This window comes from Homo sapiens, chromosome 4 (genome assembly GCF_000001405.40).
Source record: "Homo sapiens chromosome 4, GRCh38.p14 Primary Assembly".
Classification (NCBI taxonomy): domain Eukaryota; kingdom Metazoa; phylum Chordata; class Mammalia; order Primates; family Hominidae; genus Homo; species Homo sapiens.
Window position 1 is genome coordinate 185,090,703 of NC_000004.12, and position 26,094 is coordinate 185,116,796.

The 26,094-nt window shown below is 41.8% G+C and overlaps 1 long non-coding RNA gene across 10 annotated transcripts in view, besides 2 other annotated features; it reads left to right on the top strand.

The window, feature by feature from the left end:
* LINC02436 (long intergenic non-protein coding RNA 2436) overlaps window positions 1-16,546 on the top strand; it is a 55,372-nt gene extending 38,826 nt beyond the window's left edge. For 8 of the 10 annotated variants that reach the window (NR_147059.2, NR_174107.1, NR_174106.1 and 5 more), the window contains 2 exons: window positions 5,780-5,919; window positions 16,205-16,546. This is a non-coding gene — a long non-coding RNA (long intergenic non-protein coding RNA 2436). The remainder of the gene's footprint in view (window positions 1-5,779; window positions 5,920-16,204) is intronic. The other 2 variants (NR_174108.1, NR_174110.1) reach the window with 1 other exon arrangement.
* Window positions 18,778-19,416: an enhancer, noted in NCBI's record as "NANOG-H3K27ac-H3K4me1 hESC enhancer chr4:186030634-186031272 (GRCh37/hg19 assembly coordinates)". NCBI's record gives its function as "activates a minimal SCP1, AML or CMV promoter by ChIP-STARR-seq in naive and primed H9 embryonic stem cells {active_cell/tissue: H9 hESC(naive and primed)}" and the evidence as "EXISTENCE:reporter gene assay evidence [ECO:0000049][PMID:30033119]".
* Window positions 25,273-25,567: an enhancer, noted in NCBI's record as "tiled region #4736; K562 Activating DNase matched - State 5:Enh". NCBI's record gives its function as "activates a minimal TATA promoter and a strong SV40 promoter by Sharpr-MPRA in K562 cells {active_cell/tissue: K562}" and the evidence as "EXISTENCE:reporter gene assay evidence [ECO:0000049][PMID:27701403]".

The following is a 26,094-nucleotide window of genomic DNA, read 5'->3' on the forward strand; positions in this document are numbered from 1 at the left end:
ACATCCACTCAGGGCATCAAGTAGAAGGAAGGGCCTTAGTGGAATGTGTGACTACTGATGTGAGACTGCCGAAGTCCCAAACTTGCAGCTTCAGTAAACTAAAGGAACTTCACATCTGCCAAGCTGGAAAATAACAATGCATTAAAGGTTTCAAAAGAGAGTTGGCATTAATTGTGTTAATCACTGGGATAAGATTCCAAATAATTACATGACTTTAATGAGGAGATCTGACATAAGTGGTAGCAAGATAAGTATTGATTACATGTGAAATGTTAGATCAAGCCTTAGCATAAAGTTTCAGGAAGTCACTCTCCAATATTCTTTAACAAAAGAAGGATCCCGTGAAACTCCAGCAGAGCATGTGATAAGCTGAATGTCCTGCTAACTGGTTAGATTATCTGAAGAAGTTCTGCTTCTGAATGTGTTTAAATTGGTTCAGTTTGGCTTGGCTACTCTGACCCTCATAAAGTTATCAAGCCTATCTAGGGGATGAGGAACTGGAGGCATGAACAGCCCCTGCCAAAATAAGTTCCAGACCTAATCTTTGTCCCCCATCCCCTCTCCTCAGCCCTCTACTCCCTCTACAACCTGCCAAAATCAACATTCGGTATATCTAAAATCAAATGTCTATGATTTGATTTGTACATGTCCTGAACAGATACAGAATACTAATGAAGAACACCAGCTTTGGAATTAGACCTACCTTGGAATCACAGCTTAGCCACCTCTTTGTGTGATATTCATCGAGGTATTTAATTTCTCTGAACTCACTGTCCTTATCTGAGTATCTGAATACGAAGACAAAAATATCTGCTTCACACAGTTTCCATGAGGATTAATTATTTTAGCACAGTGCCTGAAATGTAGCAGCCAAAGCAATGTAGTAGCCAATATTGTACTATTTGGTTGCTTTAATGGCTTAAAATTTTTTTTTTAATTTTATTATTATTATTATTTTGAGATGGAGTCTTACTCTTGTCGCCCAGGCTGGAGTGCAATGGTGCAATCTTGGCTCACTGCAACCTTCGCCTCCTGGGCTCAAGCTGTTCTCCTACCTCAGCCTCCCGAGTAGCTGGGACTACAGGCATGCGCCACCATGCCCAGCTAACTTTTGTGTTTTTAGTAGAGATAGGGTTTCACCATGTTGCCCAAGCTGGTCTTGAACTCCTGACCTCAGGTGATCCACCCACCTCAGCCTCTCAAAGTGCTGGGATTACATGCGTCAGCTACCACACCCAGCCAGCTTTAATGGTTTTTGTGTCTACTATGTAAAGAAAAAATAGAGTAGGAAGTAGAATTAATACCTATTTCTTGTAAAGCATCTGCCTTTCCCACCAAAGAAGGACTTGGTGGATGATCTGTGAGAAACTGTGTAATATTATTACTATTAACACCACTTAATTTTAGGAGAAAGGCTTTGTAAGTGGGCACTCCTCTAAAATTCATCAGTTTCCTGTTGGATAACGTTTGTAGAATTTTTGGATGGCAACGAAATAGCTGTAAATGTATTCGCAGTTCACAGCACCATTTTAAAATGTAGTTTTCTTCAGTTTCATCAAAATTAAATCTGCTTTTCAAAAGATACCACTAAGAGATTAAAAAAAGCAAGCTACAAACATACATATCTGGAAAAGGATATATCCAAAAAATATAAAGAACTCCTACAAATCAATGAGAAGAGAGACAACCCAGTTGAAAATAGACAAAGAATCTCATCAGATTCACAAAAGAAGATGTATGGTTGCCAGTAAACTCATAAAAAGTCACCAGGGAATGCAAATTAAAACCACAATAAGTAATTACTCTATACACCCATGAAAATGGCTAAAGTTAGAAAGCCTGAGGTGCTAGAGAGGCTGTGAAGCAATTGGATTCTCATACTTTACTGGCAGGAACGTAAAATGTTAGAACCACGATAGAAACAGTTTGGCAGTTTCTTATAAATTAAACACATGATTACCATCCAACCCAACAATTCCACTCCAAGCGAGTTACCCAAAATAAATGAAAACATGTCTACACAAACACATATATGGGAATGTTTATAGCAGTTTTGTCCAAAGTAGCCTAAAACTGTAAACAGCCCAAATGTTGAACAGATGAATATATAGACACATTGCGGCACATACATAGGAGATTAAATATTACCTAGCACTAACACACGGCTGGCACACTATGCATGAATCCCAAAAACATGCTGCCTGAAAGAAGCCAGACGGCAAATCATTCATATTGTATGATTCCATTTATACATGAAATTCTAAAAAGGGGAAATCTGCCAGGGGGCAGAGAGGAACTGACCACAAGGGAACAAGAGGGAACTTTCTGGGGTGCTGGAAATGTCCTTTTTCTTGATTGTGGTGGTGGTTACACAGATGTACACATTTTTTCAAAACTCATTAAACTGTACATTTTTTCTTTTCTTTCCTTTCCTTTCCTTTTTTTTTTTTTTTTTTTTTTTTTTTTGAGATAGAATCTCACTCTGTTGCCCAGGCTGGAGTGCAGGGGAGCAATCTTGGCTCACTGCAACCTTCACCTCTGGGTTCAAGCGATTCTCCCACCTCAGTCTCCCAAGTAGATGGGACTACAGCCACATGCCACCATGCCCAGCTACTTTTTGTATTTTTAGTAGAGAAGGGGTTTCACCATGTTGGCCAGGCTGGTCTCAAACTCCTGATATCAGGTAATCTGCCCACCTCATCCTCCCAAAGTCTGGGATTACAGGCATGAGCCACGGCGCCCAGCCTGAACTGTACACTTAAAATGGCTATATATAGATTGTATGTATATATGTGTAGTAAAGAATTTAAATTTACACCCAAAGAGTTCTGGCCTTTGCCCTCAGCTTCTGGGTGGTAACATCTAAGCCCTTGGATGTCATAGGAGATAGGAGCGTCTTTGTTTACCTGGGGGCCTTGGATTATGCTAGTAGTCTAACAATGTCATGTAAGGTGGGATCTAGCCATGCCAGATAGTATTTAGGGTGGGGATGATCCCATCAGAAAGATCAACAATGGGATGTAGGGTGGGGGTTTGAGTCACACAGTATCAGCTTGCCAGAGTCGGAGATCAGCCACACAGGCCATCAATCACACCTGCATAATGGAGGCCCATGAAAACATCCCTACTTGGCAATACTCCACGCATATTGTTACAGACACACACTGAGAAAATCACGTCTAAGACTCCATGGGGAGAGAACAACACAAGCTCTATGTTGGGTGTTTTTCCTGGATTCTGCTCTTTGTGCTTCTTCCCTTGGCTGATTTTAATCTGTAACCTTTCCCTGTAATAAACCATAACTGTGAGTATCACAGCTCTCAGTGAGCTCTGTGAGTCCCTCTAGTGAATAACTGAACTCAAGGGCGGTTTTGGGACCGGTCCCCCAAACCTGCGATTAGTGTCAGGAGAGCAGTGGGTCTTATAGAGGGCTGGGTTCCCTCTAACTTTGCGGTTACCTAAACCCCCAAGGAGATGTTTCTAAACTTTAGCAGTATGATATCTCAATAAAGATTATTTTTAACGTATGGTCATTTGTTTCTCATAGTACACAATAATATGTGTGTAGGTGTGTGTGTGCACGCATGTGTGTGTGAGTATACATATATACCCCCGATGGACCACTGTGCTTTTAATATTAGGAAAGAAAGAATCTCTCAAATAGGCAATTTTGAAGCCATCTTAATATTCTATACTCTAAAGTTTAAAGGTATAAATTGTTCTTTATAAACTTAGAAAAGGCTGGGCCTGGTGGCTCACACCTGTAATCCCAACACTTTGGGAGGCCAAGGCAGGTGGATCACTCCTGAGGTCAGGAGTTCGAGACCAGCCTGGTCAACATGGTAAAACCCTGTCTCTACTAAAAATACAACAAAATTAGCTGGGCATGGTGGCAGGCACCTATAATCCCAGCTACCCAGGAGGCTGAGGCAGGAGAATCGCTTGAATCTGGGAGGTGGAGGTTGCAGTGAGCCAAGATCGTGCCATTGCACTCCAGCCTGGGCAACAAGAGCGAAACTCCCATCAAAAGAAAAAAAAAAACTTTGAAAAAATTATGAAGGAATGGGCATCAACTAACTAGCAGATGTTATCTAGGCAAAGTGGGATGAGATAAGCAAAACAGGGCCTGCTATTTATCATTCTCTGTAGATATTTAAGTGGTACAATTAGGGGTCATTTTGGTCTTTTTTGTGTTTTTCAGGATTTCTCTAATTAATGAAAATATATACTGGGAAAATGTAGACGTTTTAAATGTTATTCCTCGAATTTCTCCTTTCGGATAAGAAAACTGTATAAACACAGAAGAGAAGGCAGTACTCTGAAGTTTTCAGCAAATTTAATTGCAAGAGTCCAGTCATCTTATTGTAGCTCCCTCTGCAGCCAATTGTGTGATTCCTTCCCTCCTTTTTGTTGTCTTTCCCTTTCTACAGACATTTATTGAGCACTTGCTAGGTTTCAGGCTCTCAGCTGTGTTGCTTTGGGAACAGAGTAGTTTAGCAGTAGCCCTGTTCTCTACCTAATAGATGCCAGCACCCTGCCCCCAGTGTGACAGCCAAAAATGTCTCCAAACATTGCCAAATGTGCCCTGTGGGCTAAATGTCCCCCAGGTGAGAACAACTGTTTTAAGAAAACAAATTTCTAGATCATCAGCTCATATACATATTCTTTCCTAAAATTAACCTGCGCCCATTATGTTAAAATTAACAAGATTTCATTAGGCTGGATCTCCTCTTCCTGTCTCTTCTTTTACAAGCAACCTTCTCCTACTTTACAAAAGGCCCCCTCTTTCCCATCCAGAATCTTACTGCAGTGCACTGCCTGGGAGTGTAAGAATCCTGGGCCCCAAACAGTGAAAACTTCTAACCCCCTAAGCTGACTCATTCAGGAATGCATTTCCAATTAATTTCACTTTTTGTTATAACTATTTATCAAAAGTAATACGTTTATGGTGTTGGATAACTGTATGTTAGTAAAATTTTGACGTTCAACACCTTTGGTCACGAGAAATAAAAAATAAAGTATCTATATACATACTCTTGTTGCAGAGAAGTACAATAGGGTGATCACAGCTTTTTGATTATGAAATATTTTATATTAGTATAAAATTCTGTAGAGGAGATAAAATGGAAAATGAGATTCAAGGAAAAAAGGAGTAATATAAAGCATCCAACTATGAAAGATGAGCTTGTTTCAGAATTTTTAAAAACAGATGATGGTGGTTATCGACCCCTATAATGTTTTGTATTCTATTAGATGTATGTAAAGATTGATATAACAATTTTATTTTAAAGTTTCTACAGTATGCCAAAAGTTACATCTCCTCGGTTATTTAAACTTTTGTTGAAATATATGTAAACTTAAAAGTTTGTGGGTGATGCACATGTTTTCAAAATGATTGTAGGGGTACATGAGTAAAAGGTTTAAAAGTTGCTCACAATAGCTGTAAACTATTAATTCATTTGGCAATCAGTGAAAAAAAAAAAAAAAAAAAATGCAATGCTCAATCTAAACCAAGGACACTCTGCCACCTGGTGGCTTAGAGATTTTCATAGTCACCCAGCAGGAATCAAAAGCTCTCTTACTCCAACCATGTATGATAATGATAATGAACTGATTAATAATATGTAGAATCAGAGATTATTTGATGATAAGAGATATTCATACAGAGAAGGAAATAAAATGATGAATTTTTAATATTATAATTTCAAATTCAGGAAATTACCATTTGTAGTTTTTTTACTGGCTGGGTTAATACCTAAAATCTCTCACCTAATTTCAGCCTAGGCTGCTCTTGAACTCCTGGGCTCAAACGATCCTCCCCTGTCGGCCTCCCAAAGTGCTGGGATTACAAGCTTGAACCACCATGCCCAGCCTCAGAAATTTTTTAAATGACAGCTCATACAGTTTTCTTTTATAAAGGTAAGTAAAACAAACAAAGAAAAATATTGATCATTTTGTAGTGAAGAGACAGAAAAAAATTTATTTCACTTAACGGCGCTGTAGAAAAGTGAAATGACCAAAGATTCCATTATTTATATAGTACTTCATTGAAAAATAACATATATGTAAATTCTTATTACCTGCTTTCAATAATTTACATGTATGTTATTTTTGAAATTCTATTGACCAATGATGTGTTATTTTAATTTGTTAATCTTTCTGTCAAACACACACACACACACACACACACACACACAAAAGAAAAGAAAAAGAAAAAGAAAAAGAAAAATGGACCTTGTCATGGTAAATCCAGGTGCTATAGTTCTAACTTCCTGAAAATTATTCAACAGTTCCCTCAAATTACACACACAAAAAATAGATTTTTTAAATGGTCCGATTTCTAGCATAAGTGAGTCAACTTATATGAGCATTTTTCTACTGTATTGTATAGACAAGTTGGCACAGGCAGAAGAAAAATATCTTCTCAAGATGCAGCTTCACAATCTTCAGAGTTATTGATAACATACAAACCAAACTACAGATGATTTCAGAACTCTCCATCACTTTAACAGAAGTGTCAACTAAAGTATATTTATATCATATCTCTATCAAAAATATTTCTAATTTAATAGACACTTAAATAATGATTGGTTTTGTAATTCCCTTGAGGAGGAAGTAACCAGTATAGAAACAAACAGAAAGTAGAACATTCACCTTCATCAAATACCTACTGGAAAGTGGTCAAGAATTAGAGAAAATTGTAATGAAACAAATTTGCCAATTTGACTTCAATTGTGGTTAAGGTAGAGATGGGGCTGATTCTTCTTTCATTACAAAACCTATTTTAAAATGTAACATTAAATAATATTACTTAATGTCTCTGGGTGAAGACAGCATGTTATAAAGTCAGGAATCCAGCCTCAGCTTTTTCCTCTTTTTTAATTGAAAACTTCACATTTTTAAATTCTTTGCTTTACCTTGATTAATTTTCCCATTCTTTGGACTTCTAAATGAAAACAAGAACTCTTCTAGAATTCGGAGGGTTTTTTGTTTATTTGCATTATTGGTGATACTTAAAAGAAAAAACTCAATATTTATTTAAATATCTTAATAAAGTGTGTGTGTGTGTGTGTGTGTGTGTGTGTGTGTGTGTGATAACTTTAGTCCAAAGCTGGGCTAATGTTGATATTAGCTGCTTTATGTTAATATCGGCATTAATGGCATTAAGAAAGTAAGTCCAACCAGGGAAGGTGTCATGTCTTTTTTTCTTTCTCCCTCCTTCTAAGTCCACTGCCATACTTTGAATTTAGTTGGTACTCAGTAAATAAATTAATTGAATAAAATGAATAAATAAGATTATGCCCAAACAAGCTGGGGAAATCATTAGATCTCAATTTGGTTCCCCTTGGTTAATATTAACATTATCCAACGTAACTTTACATACAGCTTCCTCTGAGTTGTTTTGGGTTTTTAGCTATTTTGATTAGTATTTGGTTTAGTCAGTTAAAAACGATAGTTTACAATTTAGCAAAAATAAAACTACTTTTTAGTGGTAGTAATATATAGGTCCAATTGAGAGCTTACATGCTAGTAGCCTATTGATGGCACCTGGCCTGCAGATGTGTTAAATATTAGCATTTTAAATAAGGAAATTTCATATAAAATCTGTATTTTTAGCTCTCTGTGAAAATCAGCAGATATGTGAATATCTGTAATCCCCAATAGCAGCCATTGGTAGGGCTGATGCCATTACTCTCTTCAGAAGAGGCAGAGTTGCCACAATCCCCACTACTCTTTATTATTTCCCCATAATTAAGGCCAAATGTTGGATGCAACTTACTAGTCACTTGGTAGTTGAGAAATATTTCCTAGTTACTATGTTTTTATCAAAAGAGATTAAATGAGACACATGGTTCTAGAAAAATGGAGGAAAGACTGTTTCTTTCAGGAAGCTAAGAATATTGCTGTGTGTTTAATCTTTGAACTACAGCCTGCTTCAATCATTTACATTACTTGCCTGGCTCATGCAGAAATTTGAAGTTGTGACCCTCTGGGATAGCTAACAAGAGGAGCTTGGTCATTTAATAGCACATAATTCCAGTTAAGCATGAATATGTGTGTGTAAACATGAGTATAACCAGGCCTTTAAGGCATAGTTCAGCTCTCAATGGGGGCTAACATTACAAAAACATACTTGCAAAAATATTTAAGCAAATTTTGAAGAGTAGTAAAGATGCCTAGCCCTGCCAGATTGTACAACACAAAGTGTCACACTGCACAGGACTAGACATTGCAGAAAGTCCAGAAATAGACTCCAGTGTATATAGAATTTAGTATATGATTAAGTTAGCATAGTCAAATGAAAAAAGTAAAATACAAAAAAGTACATATTACCATGTATCCATAGTGCATGTTGCCATATAGAGGAGATAATATTTTAAAGTTATTAGTGGATTCTTCTATTTACCTTTTCTGAGCACAAGCCTAGAGCACTTAAAGCATAGTCCTGTCCAGGGGAAAGAGCAGGGTCTGTTTCAGGCGGTAGATGCTGCTGTTTCTTACTCCACAGCCATCAACCTCCCACTTCCTCCAAGGCAGCAGATCCTGCTTCCCACAGCAGAGGCTGTGGAAACGCCTGGCACTCTCCTTCCCAGTGTTCCTTCCAACTCCGGGCATATGGCAAGGTTAGGGATGACATGAAATAGAGGAGTCTGCTGGGACAGCTTCTGGAAAGGTTTTCACTCTGATAAGAAGAGGAGAGACCTGAGGAGTTGTCTGTCCGCCCCGAAGGCGCCCCTTTCCCCTGCCTGCTGATGAGGCTGCCTGCTGAAGGGATGCCTGGAGCAGCTGCAGCTTCCCCCAGGCCTGGGGGCTGAGCCGGACCATGAGAAGCCAGCATGCTGAGGATGGTGGAGCACGGGGCAGCTGGAGGCTGGGTGCTTGGTGGCCTTTTGGAGTTGCCAAACCAACCCTGGAGCCTGGAGCCCCAGCACTGTTGTCATTTGAGATGATCAGTGTCTTCATTGTTTAAGACACTTTTAGTTGGATATTGTCACTTGCAGCCAAGAATCTTTAAACTTACACATTGTGGAAGGAATGCCTAAAGAAGGACTGAAGCAATTTTCTTTCAATCACCGATATCTGAAAATAGAGCTTTACTGAGAAAAAGGAAAAGATTCAGACTCCTTTATCTGCCCCTTGAGTATACAAGCACCTAAGCCTCGGGACTCATACATGTTGGATTCTCTCGCACAGTAAAGAAAATAACACTCTAGTCAGTGACAGGCCATGCTTTGTTTTGTTTTTAAATACATCCAGGAGGGATGGTGAAGAAAGTAAGTGCAAGCAACAGTAAGGGCAGAGAGAGAAGCTGCACCCTCCCAAAGCGCTCTGCCTGGGGCTCTGGGGAGGACAGCCTCGTGGGGCTCTGGGGAGGACAGCCTCGTGGGGCTCTGGGGAGGACTGCCTCGTGGGGCTCTGGGGAGGACTGCCTCGTGGGTGTCCCATTCCAACCCAGCACAGCCACGGTGAGACACGCTTTAGTTGTGCATTGTGATGAAGAGGAAGAAGCACCCACGCCTAGCTTTCCTGAGCTGCTCTTGGGTCCCTGTGCTGACTAGCCCTGGCTGGGAAGCTGACCAGGGGCAGTTGCTGTGGCCAGGGCAAACTGGCTCTGTGGAGGGCTGCAGAAAGACCACCTGAGTAGGGTTGAATGGAGGCTTCCCCAGACCCAGAAGGGTGGCAGGGCTGTCAGGAGTCTGGCTGAGGTCAGGGCAGCCAGGAAGACCCACCAGGAGCATTGTCCCCACACAAGACCCCGACCTCCACACTCAACTTCAGCACCAGGGGTCTTCAGGGTGTCCTTGATGGCTAGAGAGCATTGCCCAGGGGCCGGGGAAGCCAGGGAATAGCAGACAGACACCCAGTAGATGCGAGAATGTTGGCTTCCAGGCCATACAGCTGCACCGCGTCCCTGCCTCTCCTCATTGAGAGGAGCAGGGTGAAGGACAAGCTCTCTGGGAGATTGACCCTTTCCTCCAAGACAGGCCGAACCCCCCCTCCCCACTAAAGCACAGCTGAAACTACCAGGCAGACTGAGATTTAACCAAGATCAGACACTGAGTTGTTATTATTATTTATTTATTTATTTATTTATTTTTTGAGACGGAGTCTGGCTCTGTCTCCCAGGCTGGAGTGCAGTGGCTCGATCTTGGTTCACTGCAAGCTCCAACTCCTGGGTTCACGCCGTTCTCCTGCCTCAGCCTCCTGAGTAGCTGGGACTGCAGGCGCCCGCCCCCGTGCCTGGCTAATTTTTTGTATTTTTATAGAGACGGGGTTTCACCGTGTTAGCCAGACCCCGTGATCCGCCTGCCTCGGCCTCCCAAAGTGCTGGGATTACAGGTGTGAGCCACGAGTTATTATTATTTTTTAATTTTTTGCCGCTAGTCTGTGGGTGGGGGTGGCAGAGAGGTAAGGTGAGGATGGAGTTAGAAACAAGGCTAGATTAGTCACAGAAAAAGCATACATTTTATTACCACATTTAAGTTGTGAACAAAAGGTATACCTTTGTTCTACGTACTGTCCACTTTTTGCAATTGGCATAGCTTATCATGAGTGCATATTACTTTATCAATTAAAAAAAGCAGTAAAAGCATATGAAAGTAAATGTCATGAAAAGTACAAATAAATAGTGGGCAGATGACTAATAATTAAACTCTAAGAGAAATATTTTTAAAAACCCATGGGGGGCCAACCAAGAGATGTTGTAACTTGAAAACCACATCCAGCAGGTAAAATTAAATGAGGGGCAAAGAGAAGCACCATGATCCCATGAGGTCACTGAGGCGCAGGGAGGAACGCCTGGCTGCCAAGCAGTGCTCTGGACCATCGCCGTGGGTGTCAGTGAACCTCCCTGTAACATCTGGTTGAGGAGACAGGCAGTGGAGCCCCGGGGGCACACAGAAGGGCTCTGGCACCAGCCTGCTTTGGTTTGAATCTGCGCTGCCACTTACTAGCTCATGACTTTGTTAAGTTACTTAACCATTCTTTCACTCAATTTCGTCATATGTCACTTGAGAATAATAAAGTTAATTCATTCGTCATAGGGTTACCACAAGGATTAAATGTAAAGCCCTCAAAATTGCTCTTGGCCCACAAGAAGAATTTGGCTATTACCGTTACTTCTGGAATTGACTGAGAAAAGAAAAGATGCTGAGTTTCCCACCTTCTATGCTTAGAGAACCACCATCTCTTGTCTTGGGGCCAGCCATCTCCCCACAAAGGGGCCAGTCAGCAGAACGAGCATCAACACCTCCCCTCTCACCCAGTCTTATTGGGGTGGGGGTAGGGAGGGGCCAAGAAGATGGCCTGGGAAGCTGTGGCAGTCCAGCAGCAGGGCATCCAGACATCCCATTTCCTGGCTCCGCAGCAGCCTGGCCATGAGGCTCACTCGCAAGAGTAGGGAGAGGTCAGGGGGCATGGTTAGGGGAAGGAGGTGGCACCTGCAACTCCCGGCTCTGAGCAGTAGATGGTCTTGCGCATGCCTCCAGACCCCTCACCTGGGAGCTCCGGAAAGCAGAGAAAGTTGGGGGCACATAATCACCTTGTGCTGTAATGCATATGCTACATTACTGGAAAAACTCAAGTAAAATCTGTAAATGCGATATTAATACACCAGGCTGAAAATACACTCGGTCTTTGAGAGTTTACAGTTTAGAAACAATTATAATAGGGTATGGAGTGGGTGCTGTGAGAGAGTCAGGGAGGAGAGGAGGCATCTAGGTCAGATGGAAGAATGCAAGAAGGCTCTCTGAGGAGGCGACACTTAGACTGAACTTAAAGGATGAGTGTGAGTGAATGAGAAAAAAGGGAGGAGCATTTCAAGAACAGCACATGAAGGGAACTGGAGGCAAGAAACAGCACAGTGCATCTTAGAGCTTGTATGTGGTTTGGAGAGGCTGAGATGGAAGGTGGATGTGCGGGGGTGAAGGGAGACGAGGCTGGAGAGGAAGGCCATACCCAGAGAATGCAAGACCTGGCATGCATGCCAAAGGGTTCTAATCATATTTGCAGTTTCGAAGGGTCATACAGGCTGGGCACTGTGGCTCATGCCTGTAATCCCAGCACTTTGGGAGGCCGAGGCAGGTGGATCACCTGAGGTCAGGAGTTCAAGACCAGCCTGGCCAACATGGTGAAACCCGTCTCTACTAAAAATACAAAAATATCCAGCCTGGGCAACAGAGCGAGACTCTGTCTCAAAAAAAAAAAAACAAAAATAATTAGCTGGACCTGGTGGTGCACACCTGTAATCCCAGCTACTTGGGAGGCTGAGGCAGGAGAATCGCTTGAAGCCAGGAGATGGAGGATGCAGTGAGCCAAGATCACGCCACTGCACTCCAGCCTGGGTGACAGAGTGAGACTTTGTCTCAAAAAAATAAATAAATAGAAGGGTCATACATCCAGCAGTATTTGAGGGTCCAGCAATATGTAGGGGTGGGCAGACTGGAGGCAGAAAGGGCAGCTAAGAAGCTACTGCTGTAGTCCAGGCAAGACAAAACAGTGTCTGCTCAAGGTAGAGACGAGGGAGAAGACAGGAGAGATGATAAAGCAATAGATTCTGTACTACTTGGTGGCTTGTTAAGTGTGAGTTGAGGGAGAATGGGAGTCTAGGTTACTTTGTTTTCTGATTTGTACAGACACTAAGATACAGAAGGTAGAGGAAGTGGCACAGGTTTTGAATGTGGTGAATTTGAGATGAAGTTTATAGTAGATATATGTGGCTGAAACTCAAAAGAAATGTCTGAGGCTGGGCATGGTGGCTCACATCTGTAAACCTAGTGCTTTGGGAGGCCCAGGTGGGAGAATTGCTGGAGGCCAGGAGTTGGAGACCAGCCTGGGAAACATAGGGAGATCTCAACTCTACAAAAAACAAAAACATAAAAAATTAGCCAGGCATGGTGTGTGCACCTGTAGTTCCAGCTACTTGGGAGGCTGAGGTGGGAGGATTGCGTGATCGCAGGAGTTTGAGACTGCAGTGAGTTGTGTGATTGATTGTGCCACTGCACTGTAGCCTGGGTAACAGTGAGACCCTGTCTCAAAAAAAAAAAAAAAAAAAAAGGTGGGGGCGGGGAGAGATAGAGGGAGGTCTGAGCCAGATATGTGGGCATGAGAGTCATCCTCACAGAGGTGATGTTGGAGCCATGATGTGCCCGACAGCACGTCTAAGAACATATACATGAGAAGAGTAACTGGGCCATACAAGCATTTAAGATGTGAGAAACTAGACCCCATCAAGGAATCCGTGAAGGAGAAGCCAGAGAGAGAAGAAAACCAGGAGATTGTATCATAGAAGCCAAGAAGAAAAAAATGCGTGGTTTTAGGAAGGAGTGAGTGGACAGTAGAGTTTAATGTTGCAGAGAAGTCAAATAAACTAAGGACTGGAGGGTGGACATTGTCACTGGACACCTTGGAGAGAGCAAGTTCAAGGGCAAAGAAGCCAAGCCACTGGACTGAGCGGCAGTGAGAGAGTGGGAGGAGCAGCCTGCTCTTCAGAAAGAGCTTGCTAGGGGCTGGTGTGGTGGTTCACGCCTGTAATCCCAGCACTTTGGGAGGCAGAGGTGGGTGGATCACTTGAGGTCAGGAATTCGAGACCAGCCTGGCCAACATGGTCGAAACCCCGTCTCTACTAAAAATACAAAAATTAGCCAGGTGTGGTTGCGCACACTTGTAATATCAGCTACTAGGGAGGCTGAGGCAGGAGAATCATTTGAACCCACGAGACAGAGGTCTCAGCGAGCTGAGATCATGCCACTGCACTCCAGAAAGAGCTTGCCAGAAAGGTGGCATGTAGAAAGGAACCAGAAAAGGATGGACCCGTGAGGGTGAGCTGAGATGTAGAACTGAGAAAATGTTTATATGATGAAGTAAAAAGCCATGTTTGAGGAAAACAGATTTTAAGTGGAGAAGAGCAATGAACTGAGAATCAAGAAACTTGAGTTCTGGTCCAGGTTCTGCCAATAATTAACCATGAGATTTAGGAAAAAGTCACTTCGCCTCTCTGTGCCTCAGTTTCCTCCTCTGTCAAATGAAAGAGCTGACCTAGATCCAATTTTATTTAGCCAGAATGTTTTCTAATTCTGAGTCTCCTCAAAAGGAGGGAACTGAGTTATTTATTCTGAGAGGTAAAAGTATTAGCATTTTGTTGAAAACATCTTAAAGCTAAAAAGCTGTCACTTGAATTGGGCCATTCTTTTGCCTGCAGAACTCTGGCACATAAGTAAACACACATGATATAACTGCCAAAGTAAATTATGTTGAAATAACTTATAGTCTAAAATTGACAGATTGAAAGTAAATACTGGCAAAGTTTCCTTACTCCTTTGGGGGAGTCCATCAGAAATACTTGATAGTTAATTTGTCTCTGGGGAACACTTCTTAGTAGACCCTCAGTCATTCACCTCTGCCCTCTTGCTCATCCACTTTCACTTGGCTGGTTGACTTTTTACTGAATGTGCTTGAGCGGGTTTCCACTCTACATGTTGTGAGCAAGATTCACGTCAGCTTTTAGCTCTGGAAAGAGAGCAGTTGAGAAAACAGGGACCTGCTGTAGTATGAAATCCACCTGGTGACCACCACACTGAGAAACATGGAACCTCTGACCATCTACGTTACCAAAAGTTATACACAGAAAATAATTTCTGCCCAATGGAGAAGAACGTTTGGGTAATTTTGAAACTACAGCACCTGTTGAGGGACTGTGGAAAGCACTAGTCCTGTCTAACAGTGTCACTTTGCTGAGTATCCAATCAACAGCAATAGTTACAGGACAGTATTTAACAAATGTTACAATGTGCATTCCCTTAAACTAATTTACATAAATTTAAACATACTCCTCATTTGTGTGGATATTCTGCAACAAATTGAGATGCTTTTATAAATTGAGATACTTTTTGTTTGTTTTTGAGATGAGGTCTCACTCTGTTACCCAGGCTGGAGTCCAGTGGTGTGATCGTGGCTCACTGCAGCTTTGAACACCTGACTTCAAGTGATCTTCCCGTCTCAGCCTCCCGAGTAGCTTGGACTACAGGCACACCCCACCACACCTGGCTTGGGGTACTTTTTTGTCCAAAGGATATTATTTCTTTTCTTGCAACCCTACAGAACAAAGTGTCGTAATGATGTGATAATTTTTGCCTACATTTCAAAGAATTGCAATTATTTATTTGTACATATATTCACTAAGTTTCATATCAGTAACATAAGCTTATAAAGTCATACAGTAATATAAAATGTGAAGCAATCTATCATTTAATCAAAATTTCTAAAATTATTTTCACTGCATTTTAGAGTACTCTATGGGCAATGCACAATAAAACATTTGGGAGTCTATTCTCCTTCAAATCTTAACATACAAAATGTGTTTATGTTAGAAAAATTGCCAAAATGTGCTGCAACCTCACATTTAGATAGGAAAGGATTCCTATCTTCCAGTCATAAACAAAACCGAAAACATCAAGCAAAAGATCCTCCCCAAGCAGGTTTTAGCCATTATTTCACATAAACCAAGGTAAATACACTATATATCACGGGGCCTAGTCTCAGTTGAGGCTTGCAATTTCCTTTCCTCGTTCTATCTATTGGAAGAAAGAAAGATAATCCATCCATGTTGGACTATCCTGTCAAGCTAGCCTAAATCACTGCGGGCTGGAAATCTCCAGAGTTTTCTCCTCATGATTCAAAACCAGTACAGATACTAAGACAAGACTGAAAATCACCCTGACACGTAAATTAGAAAAGAAGAATAAAATTCTAAGAAAAGCAGCTGAGTGAGTTTTTGTCTCTCTTTTCACACTGAGCCTGCATACAATGAGGGGGCTGTCATGTCCTACTTGACCACTTAGGGCACTGCCTGGAGCCCTGGCCTGGGAGTCAGAAGCAGGAATCTCAAGGTCTAGCGCATAACTGACTAGCCATTTGCCCCTGGGTCCCTCTCTGGACTTCGGTTTCTCATATGCAATAAAATGAAGGGGTTTTATTCCATAACTGCTATGACCCTTAGCTCTCAATGGCACTGATTATCTCATTTTCTTTTTCACCAACTCAAGAAATAAGTGTCTTAAATTTGTCTCTAACTGACAACAGGGCCAGTGGTGGACTCGTAATCCATGTTTGTTGAGCTAACTAATTAGTTTGGGCCCTGAAAACAAGAGGGTCTTCTTTGGTAGCTATTTGACAAACTGTCACTTATGGGATCTTTCTCTTTCAGGAGGAGAAAATGTGTAATTGTAAGCAGCTGAACTAAAATATCTCTGTGACATTTTGCTGGTGACTCCAGCCCTGTGAGATCTGAGTGGCTCAGGAATCAAATTCTCCCACAAACCTGAGGAAGCCTTTTATTCTTAATGCCAACAGGATGCCCCATGCCCAGAATGTCAAATCTGAACACCAATGGAATGCATTTTATAAACAAATTGAAAAAGGACAATCTTTAACAGAATTGTTGTTCTCTAGGCAGATTAGTTGTGCTTCAAATACAAAATGAAATATTAGAGAACAAAATTATTTTTAAACAGCTAATACTAGTAGAAAATAAAAGGCTGAAAAGTGCTATAATGTGTAAAAGGACTAAAATTTACTTTTATTACTTATTTATATATGAGTTGGGCTCAATTTTACCATTAGTCAATCTTTATCCTTTGGCAAGTTTCTTTTCTGTCTTTGGGCTTCTCATCTAGTGTCAATGAAAAGAGTCACTCTGGGCTGGGCGCGGTGGCTCACGTCTGTAATCCCAGCACTTTGGGAGGACGAGGTGGGTGGATCACCTGAGGTCAGGAGTTCAAGACCTGCCTGACCAACATGGTGAAACCCTGTCTCTACTAAAGATACAAAATTTAGCTGGGCATGGTGGCAGGTGCCTGTAATCCCAGCTACTCAGGAGGCTGAGGCAGGAGAATAGCTTGAACCTGGGAGGCAGAGGTTGCAGTGAGCAGAGATCGCACCACTGCACTCCAGCCTGGGGGACAAGAGCGAGACTTTGTCTCAAAAAAAAAAAAAAAAAGAGTCACTCTGTAAACTATTTAAAGAGGTTTATTCTGAGCGAAATATGAGTGACCAAGGCCCAGGTGGTTGATTGACAGCTGGATTTTATACATGTTAGCGGGACAGAAATTACAGGCAGACATCAATCAATACATGTAAGATGTACATTGGTTTAGTCCAAATAGACGGCACAGCTCGAAGCAGGAGCTTCCAGGTCATAGGTGGATTCAAAGATTTTCTGATTGGCAATTGGTTAAAAAAAGTTAAATTATGATCTGAAGACCTGGAATCAATAGGAAGGAAGGTCTGGGTTAAGATAAGGTGTTATGGAGACAAAAGTTCTTATGCAGATGAAGCCTTCAGGTGGCAGGCTTCAGAGAGAATAGATGGTAAATGTTTCTCATCAGACTTAAAAAGGTGCCAGACTCAGTTCATCTCTCCTGGATCAGGAAAAGACCTGAAAAGGGAAGGGGATTCTTTACAGAATGCAGATTTTCCCTGTAAGAGACAGCTTTGCAGGGCCATTTAAAAATATGTCAATGAAATATATTTCAGAGTTAAATACTTCAGTGTGTTTGTGGGCTGCTATCTGTCCTGTGATGCTACACTAGAGTCAGGTTAGAATTTGGTATCTTTTTGCTACAGAGACTATTTTGTCAGTCTTAAGAGCTCTGTTTTAATGTTAATGCTGTCAGTTGTGCCCGGAATTCCAAAAGGAGGAGGGAACAATAAGGCAAGCATATCTAACCCCCCTTCCCATCATGACCGGAACTAGTTTTTCAGGTTGACTTTGGAATGCCCTTGGCTGAGAAGGGGACCCATTTAGTCAGTTGGGGAGCTTAGAATTTTATTTTTGGTTTACATCATCTAGAAAAAGTAAAGTATGAAGTTGGGGAAATAGGTCAAAATAAGTTCTAGAGTCACTTTTAGCTCCTACGATTCTATTAAAACTTATTTTCTAGTTATAGAGGTAACAGTTCATATCATAAAAAAGTATTTTAAGATAGACGACTCTCAAAGACATTATGCGAAGAGAAATAAGCCAGTCATAAATACTGCATGATTCCTTTCCTCTGAAGTATCTAAAGTAGTCAAAATTGTAGAAACAGAAAGTAGAAAGGAAGTTCCCAGAAAGGGGTGGGAGCAATTAGTGTTTAGTGGATGTAGTGTGTTGACAAAATACCAAACCCTGTAAAACATTTACAGAGGTTAATTCTGAGCCAGCACGAGTGGCCATGCCCAGGGAACAGTTTCAAGAGGTTCTGAGAAGGCATGCCCAAGATGGTCAGATTACAGCTTGGTTTTATACATTTTAGGGTGACGGAAGTTACAGACAAAGATACAAATTAATGCATGTAAGGTGTACATTGGTTCAACCTGGAAAGTGAGGACATCTCAAAGTGGAAGTGGAAGGTGGGTAAGGTGCTTACAGGTCATAGGCAGATTCAAAGATTTTCTGATTGGTAATTAGTTGAAAGAATTAAGCTTTGTCTAAAGACTTGAAGTCTAGAAAGAAATGCTTGAATTAAGATAAGGGGGATTGCAGAAGCCAAGGTTCTTATTACGTAGATGAAGCCTCCAGGTAGCAGCCTTCAGAGAGAATAGATGGCAAATGTGTCTTTTCAGACCGTAAAAGGTGTCAAGGCCAGGCCCCGTGGCTCATGCCTGTCATCCCAGCACTTGGTGAGGCTGAGGCAGGCAGATCACCTGAGGTCAGGAGTTTGAGACTAGCCTGGCCAACATGGTGAAACCCCATCCCTACTAAAAACGCACACATTAGCTGGGTGTGGTGGCACATGCCTGTAGTGCCAGCTACTTGGGAGGCTGAGGCAGGAGAATTGCTTGAACTCAGGAGGTGGAGGTTGCAGTGAGCCAAGATCATGCCACTGCACTCCAACCTGGGTGACAGGGCAAGAGTTTATCTCCAAAAAAAAAAAAAAAAAAAAACCACACACAAAAAAAACAGGTGTCAGACTCTTAGTTAATCTCTCCTAGATCCAGGAAAGGCCTGGCTGCATTGACAGAAATCCTCTACAGATGCAAATTTCCCCCACAGAAGACTTTGCAGGACCATTTCAAAATATGTCAAAGAAATATATTTTGGGGTAAAATAATTTTATTTTCCTCAAGGTCTACTGTCTGTCATATGATGCTATACCAGAGTCAGGTTGGAATTTTGTATCTTATTGCCACAAAGAGTCTGTTTTGTCAGGCTTAACATGTCTATTGTAATGTTAATGCTGGTCAGTTGTGCCAAAACTCCAAAGGGAAGGTGTAGGTGTGTCCTACCTCCCTTCCCATGATGGCTGGGAATTCAGTTTTTCAGGTTTTTCTGGAGTCCCATTTGCTCAGAGAGGGTCCATTCAATCACTTGGGGAAACTTAGAATTTTATTTTTGTTTTACAAAAGTTTCAGTTTTTCCAGATGAAAAAGTTCTGCAGATCTGTTGCACAACAGTGTGAATGCACCTAACACTGCTGAGCTGTACACTTAAAAAATGGTTAAGGTGGTAAAATTTATTTATTCTTTTATTTGTTTTTAGATGGAGTCTCAGGCTGGAGTGCAGTGGCACAGTCTCGGCTCACTGCAACCTCCGCCTCCCAGGTTCAAGCAATTCTCGTGTCTCAGCCTCCCGAGTAGCTGGGATTATAGGCACACACCACCATGCTAATTTTTTGTGTTTTTAGTAGAGACAGGTTTCTGCCATGTTGCCAGGATGGTCTTGAACTCCTGAGTTCAGGCAATCCGCCCACCTCGGCGTCCCAAAGTGCTAGGATTACAGGGGTGAGTCACCGCGCACAGGAAGGTGGTAAAATTTAATGTCAGAATTTTTTTACCACAATAAAAAAAAAACTTGTTGTAGTATGAGAATAAAGAAGAAATTTTAAACCACTCAAAAGTGAATACCTCAGAGAGAAAATCTCTATTAACCAATGGGAGCTTATCACTATTGATTTTTCAACAGTTAATGAGTGCCCTACCCTGTGGCGCTGTTTCCTGGCAGCAAATAATGAACGTGACAGGCATAGATCCAGCTTTCATTCGTAAGGAAATCAGCAGTTACTTTAAAAGGCAATAGGTTCGGCGGGCGCAGTGGCTCATGCCTGTACTCCCAGCACTTTGGGAGGCCAAGGTGAGTGGATCACAAGGTCAGGAGTTCGAGACCAGCCTGACCAACATGGTGAAACCCAATCTCTACTAAAAATACAAAAATTAGCCAGGCATGGTGGCACGTGCCTGTAATCCCAGCTACTCAGGCGGCTGAGACAGGAGAATTGCTTGAACCCGGGAGGCGGAGGTTGCAGTGCGCTGAGATCATGCCACTGCACTCCAGCCTGGGTGACAGAACAAGACTCTGTCCCCCCAAAAAAAAAAAAAAATAGGCAATAGGTTCTACTGTAAGGGGACACGCAGAGAGGAATAAAAGCATGGAGAAGGGGTGAGGAGATCCTGGTGGAGATGAGGAAAGCATTCCTGAGGAAATGAGGGCTAATCTGAGATTTGAAGGATGAGAAGAAGATGTCTTTTTTTTGTTTTTTTCGGCTAGTCAAGTGAAGCAGTGGGAGTGGAGAAGGAACAAAGAAATCCTTAACTGGTTGTGACTGCACTCGGACCACCTGAGAAGAAGATATGAAGACAAAAAGAAGGCACGGACTTTCTGTTCGGAACATGTGCAAAAGTCTAGGCAATATAAAGCACGCTGCTTAAGATGGGGGAATAGGACACCCACATATGCTGAGGCGGTGCCAGGACCAGGATAGCAGAGGGCTCTGGAACCCATGTCAGTGAGCCTGAACATCTTCCTGCGGGTAGGCTCCTTGACATGGGTTCCAGAGCCCTCTGCTACCCTGGAACCCATGTCAATGAGTCTGAACATCAGTAGGAGAGTCACTAGAGAGCCTGAGTGTAGAGTGGACAAGGTTAGATTCAATTTAAGAAGACCTCTCTGGCTTCAATGTGGAGGATGGATTGAAGGGGCTCACTGCTGGTTGAGGCTGTGACAGTGGGCTCGGTGAGACAAGCACGGGCATAGCCTGTTGTTAATAATGTTGTATTTATAGTTTTTGGCTTAAGACTTTTTACTTAATATTTCATATTTAGGGTTTTCCCATTTCATTAAAAATTCATTGTAATCATTTTTAATACCTGCTTGGCATTTCATTGTATGGATAATCCATGATTTATTTAACTACTCTTCTATTTTTAAAGGTTGTTTCTGTTTCTTAGTCTAGAATGAGTAGAATTAATATTTTGGTACAAGGATTCTTGTCCACATTTTATAAATATTTTCATAAATATTAAGATTATACTAATCTCTTGCATCAGATGGCAGAAGAGGTGGCGGCAATGTTACCAAAGGAGTGTGTGTGTGTGTGTGTGTGTGTGTGTGTGTGTGTATAAGCAGTATTGCTTTGTCCTACCTAAATTGCAGATCTGCCAAAGAAGGCATAATCTAATATATTCATCCCCTATGTTGCATGGGGCAGGGAAGGCTGTGGGTTTGCACTACATAGCACATTGTTCTATCCAGGCAAAAGGTCAAGCGCTGTAGAAGGCCAAAGCTAAAAATACAGTGTGGCACTGGGGAAAATGAAGGAGCTGTCCAGGGGAAATGAGTCATACTGAATCAGTACCTCTCCTCCTATACACAGCAGTAACCTCCTCAGCTAGGGAAAGCAGACTGGTTCTTACATGAAAGTGATTTCAGGTCAGGCCTGGTGGCTCATGCCTGTAATCCCAGCACTTTGAGAGGCTAAGGTGGGCAGATCACCTGAGGCCAGGAGTTCGAGACCAGCCTGGCCAGAATGGCAAAACCCCCATCTCTACTAAAAATACAAAAATTAGCCAGGTCTGGTGGCACACATCTGTAATCCTACCTACTCGGGAGGCTGAGGCAGGAGAATCGCTTGAATCTGGAAATTGGAGGTTTCAATGAGCTAACATTGCCACTGCACTGCAGCCTGGGTGACAAAGCCAGACTGTCTCAAAATTTTTTAAAAAAAGGAATTTTAACAATAATACCAATAATTTTGGTAACAACATGGAGTAATTTCATTCCTATAGCACTTTTGTTCCTAGAGGTCGACTGCTCATGGACCATCCGTGGACCAGGATACCCCTTGTCCGTTAGCATAGGGTCTCCGGGAAGACAGCACCACACACGGAAGGAATCGAAGGAGCTGAGCCTCCCTGAACATTTCTCACTGGGACTGGTAGGACTCAGTGGATTAGAAGAATGGCATTCCCAGTCTAGAGGGGCAGGCAGTAACCTGTGTGTGGGCATTGAGAGAATATGGTACATGATCCCTGTCATTGCTGTGACCCTGGAAGTTTCTCAGGAAATCCAAATAACTAATGCCAGTTGGACTGTTTATAAGGTTTCCTCTCTTCAGGAAATCATCAAAATATTCTTTCAGCTGCCAGGCCAACTTCTTCAGGACTGAAAGAAAATCTTTCTTTTCAACCACAGAGAGAGAGCAAACAGCCATTGCTAGTTGACAAAGTTTGGGGAGTGGGAGGTGGTTTTATTTTGTTTTTGTAAACAGGGTCTCCCTATGTCACCCAGGCTCGTCTCAAACACCTGGGCATTTGTGAGAGACCTCCCTTCCATGGTCTTCCCCAGCCCTATTTGTCAGGATTTTTAACACAAGTGACTCCAATTTTGAGTCCGTCAACTTTCACAGATAAAAATTATTAAGACTGATAAGCCCAAGTGTTGACAAGTGTGAGTGGGCTAAATTGTATTCCCTCAACATTCATATGTTGAAGTTCTAGCCCCCAGCACCTCAGAATGTAACTGTATTTGAATATAGAGTCTTTGAAGAGATAATTAAGGCCAGGCATGGTGACTCATGCCTGTAATCCCAGCACTTTGGGAGACTGAAGTAGGAGGATTGCTTGAGGCCAGGAGGTCAAGACCAGCCTGGGCAACATAGTGAGACCTTGTCTCTATAAATAAATACATTTGGATAGAGTTAATTAATGTGAAATAAAATATGGTTATTAGGGAGGGGTTCTAATCTAATCTGACTCGTGTTTTTTAAGAAGAAGAAATTAAGACACAATGCACACAGAAGGAAGACCATGTAAAGACACAAAAAGATGGACACCTGCAAGCCAAGGAGAGAGGCCGCAGAAGAAAACCAACTCCAGTGACACCTTGATCTTTGACTTGCAGCCACCAGAATTGTAGCAAATACATTTCTGCTGTTTAAGCTACCCAGCTAGTGATACTTCGTTTTGACAGCCCTAGCAAACTAATACAGCTAGAGATTTTATTAGTCCATTCTCATACTGCTATAAAGAAATACCTGAGACTGGGTGATTGACAAAGAAAAGAGGTTTAATTGGCTCACAGTTCCACAGGATGTACAGGAAGCGTGGCAGCTTCTGCTCGGCTTCTGGGAAGGCCTCAGGAAACTTACAATCATGGCAGAAGGCAGAGAGGCAGCAAGAGCATCTTACATGGCTGGATCAGGAGGAAGAGCGAGAGGAGGAAGAGGCTGCACACTTTTAAACAACCAAATCTCGTGAGAACTCACTATCGCGACAGCAGTTCCAAGGGGGATGGTACTAAACTGCCCCCATGATCCAATCACCTCCCACCGGGTCCTACCTCCAACATTGGGGATTACAATTTGACATGAGGTTTGGGCAGGGACACAGATCCAAACCATGTCAGAGACATACAATACGGGAATTTTTACACATTGCTGGTAAATAAATGGGCACATTCATTTTGGAGAGACACAAGCCCCAGTAGCCAAAAAATCCATTTGAGTTATCTATTCTAGAGAAAGTCATGCAAATGTGCCCCAAAAGACATACGGAAAGCTGTTCAGTGTAGCATTTTATCTCACTGTGAAAAAAATGAAACTAACCTCCCCTCAGTGGAAAATGGCTAAACTGTGGTTCATTCACACAATGGAATTCCACAAGACTGTTAAAATGACTAAATGTGCCTGCATCTATCAACACGGATAAATCTCAAAACCAACGCTCAGTGAAAAAAGAAAATTGCAAAAATATTTGTACAACGTGATATCATTTATATGTAGTTTTAAAACACAATTGTCTATATTGTTTATGCACATATACATATGTGTAAAAGCACAAATACACACATGAGCATAAGACGCATGTAAGATAATGGTTAAGAGCACAGACTGTGGAGCTCCCTCACCAGTTATATAACATTTGATAACTTTAATCCCGTGCCTCAGTTTCCTCATGTGTAAAATGGTTTTGATAATGAAAGTGCCTACCTTATTGGATCATGGGGAAGATTACATTAGAAAATGCATACAAAATGCTTAACTCAATACCTGGCTCATAGTAAATGTTCAATAAATATTATATTATACTATTGTTTAACAAACATCCACTCCAAAACTCATGGTGAAATTTGTCATTGTGATGGTATTGAGAAGTGGGAACTTTAAGAGGTAGTTAGGTTACTAAAGCTGTTATTGTGGGAATGGGTTCATTATCATGGGAATGGGTTTGCCAGCTCTTACAGTCTCTCTCTTTCTCTCTCTCTCTTTCTCTCACCCTTTCACCCTTCAGCCATGTTATGATGCTGCAAGAAGCCCATTGCCAGATGCTGGTGCCTTGACACTGGACTTCTCAGCCTCCAGAACTGTGAGCCAACAAATGTCTATTTGTTGTAAGAAATCTTACTAGATAAGGGCCGGGCGCGGTGGCTCACGCCTGTAATCCCAGCACTTTGGGAGGCCAAGGCGGGCGGATCACGAGGTCAGGAGATCGAGACCATCCTGGCTAACACGGTGAAACCCCGTCTCTACTAAAAATACAAAAAAATAGCCAGTCGTGGTGGCAGGCGCCTGTAGTCCCAGCTACTCGGGAGGCTGAGGCAGGAGAATGGGGTGAACCCGGGAGGCAGAGCTTGCAGTGAGCCGAGATCGCACCACTGCACTCCAGCCTGGGCAACAGAGCAAGACTCCGTCTCAAAAAAAAAACAAAAAACAAAACAAAACAAAAAACTTACTAGACAAATATTAGCTTATTAGTAAATAAATAATATGGTCAACTGTACAGGCAATCAAATATGAAAAAAGTAAAATAAAATTGAGTTACTACTTTTGGCAAAGCTTAATTTTGAAATAAGGGTACTTTGATAGGTAATATACTATGATAGGCAGCTTCTAAACGGCCGCAGTGATCCCATCTGTTGGTATTCATGCCCTTCCTTGTGTAATCCCCTTCCCTGGAATATGGGCCGGACGTAGTAACTTGCTCTGACAAATAGAATATGACAAATTGATGGAATATTACTTCCAAAATGAGGTTCTAAAAAGACTGGTGCTTCCTCCTCGGGCACTCTCTCTCATTCTGTTAATCTGAGGGAAGCCAGCTGCTATGCTGTGAGCTGCGCCGTGGAGAGGCCCACATGGCGAAGACCTGATAACATCTGGATGATAGCCAATGAGTGAGCTTGGAAGTAGATCCTCCCCCATGTGAACTGGGAGGTGATTACAGCCCTGGCAAGCAGCTGAACTTGCAGTCTCATGAGAGCTCCGGGCCAGAGACTCCCAGCCCAAATTCCTGACCTCCAGAAACCATGAGAAAATAAACGTTTATTGTTTTAGGCTGGCAAACTTCTAGGTAATTTTTTACGCAGCAATAGATAACCAATACACCCAACATAGGCCAGGGCGAAAGCTAACGCTGATGTGCATATGTACTGTTAGTAATAAGGTAAATTGGTGTAAGTTTCTGGAGAGCGGTTTTAAAAATATTCCTAAAGATAGTCACAATTATGTTTTGCCTGAAGGAAATAAATGAATAAATATTTAAGTATATCCATTAAAGTCTTAAACATAGTAAATATAATAGTGAATAACTGGTAATAATTTACCAGTTTGGGGGAATTGTTAAATTATAATATATCCATTTGATAAAATCTTAGGTGGATATTAAAATTCATGTCAAAAATCTAATTAATGATCTGTTGAAATGTTCATGACATAATGATAACAACATTAACAAAATAATAATAATTGAGGATGATCACAAATTTTGTTTTATTTATATTTAAAAATTTGTTAACCAACATAATAATAGTGTTGATCTGAGTGATGACATTATTAGGTGATT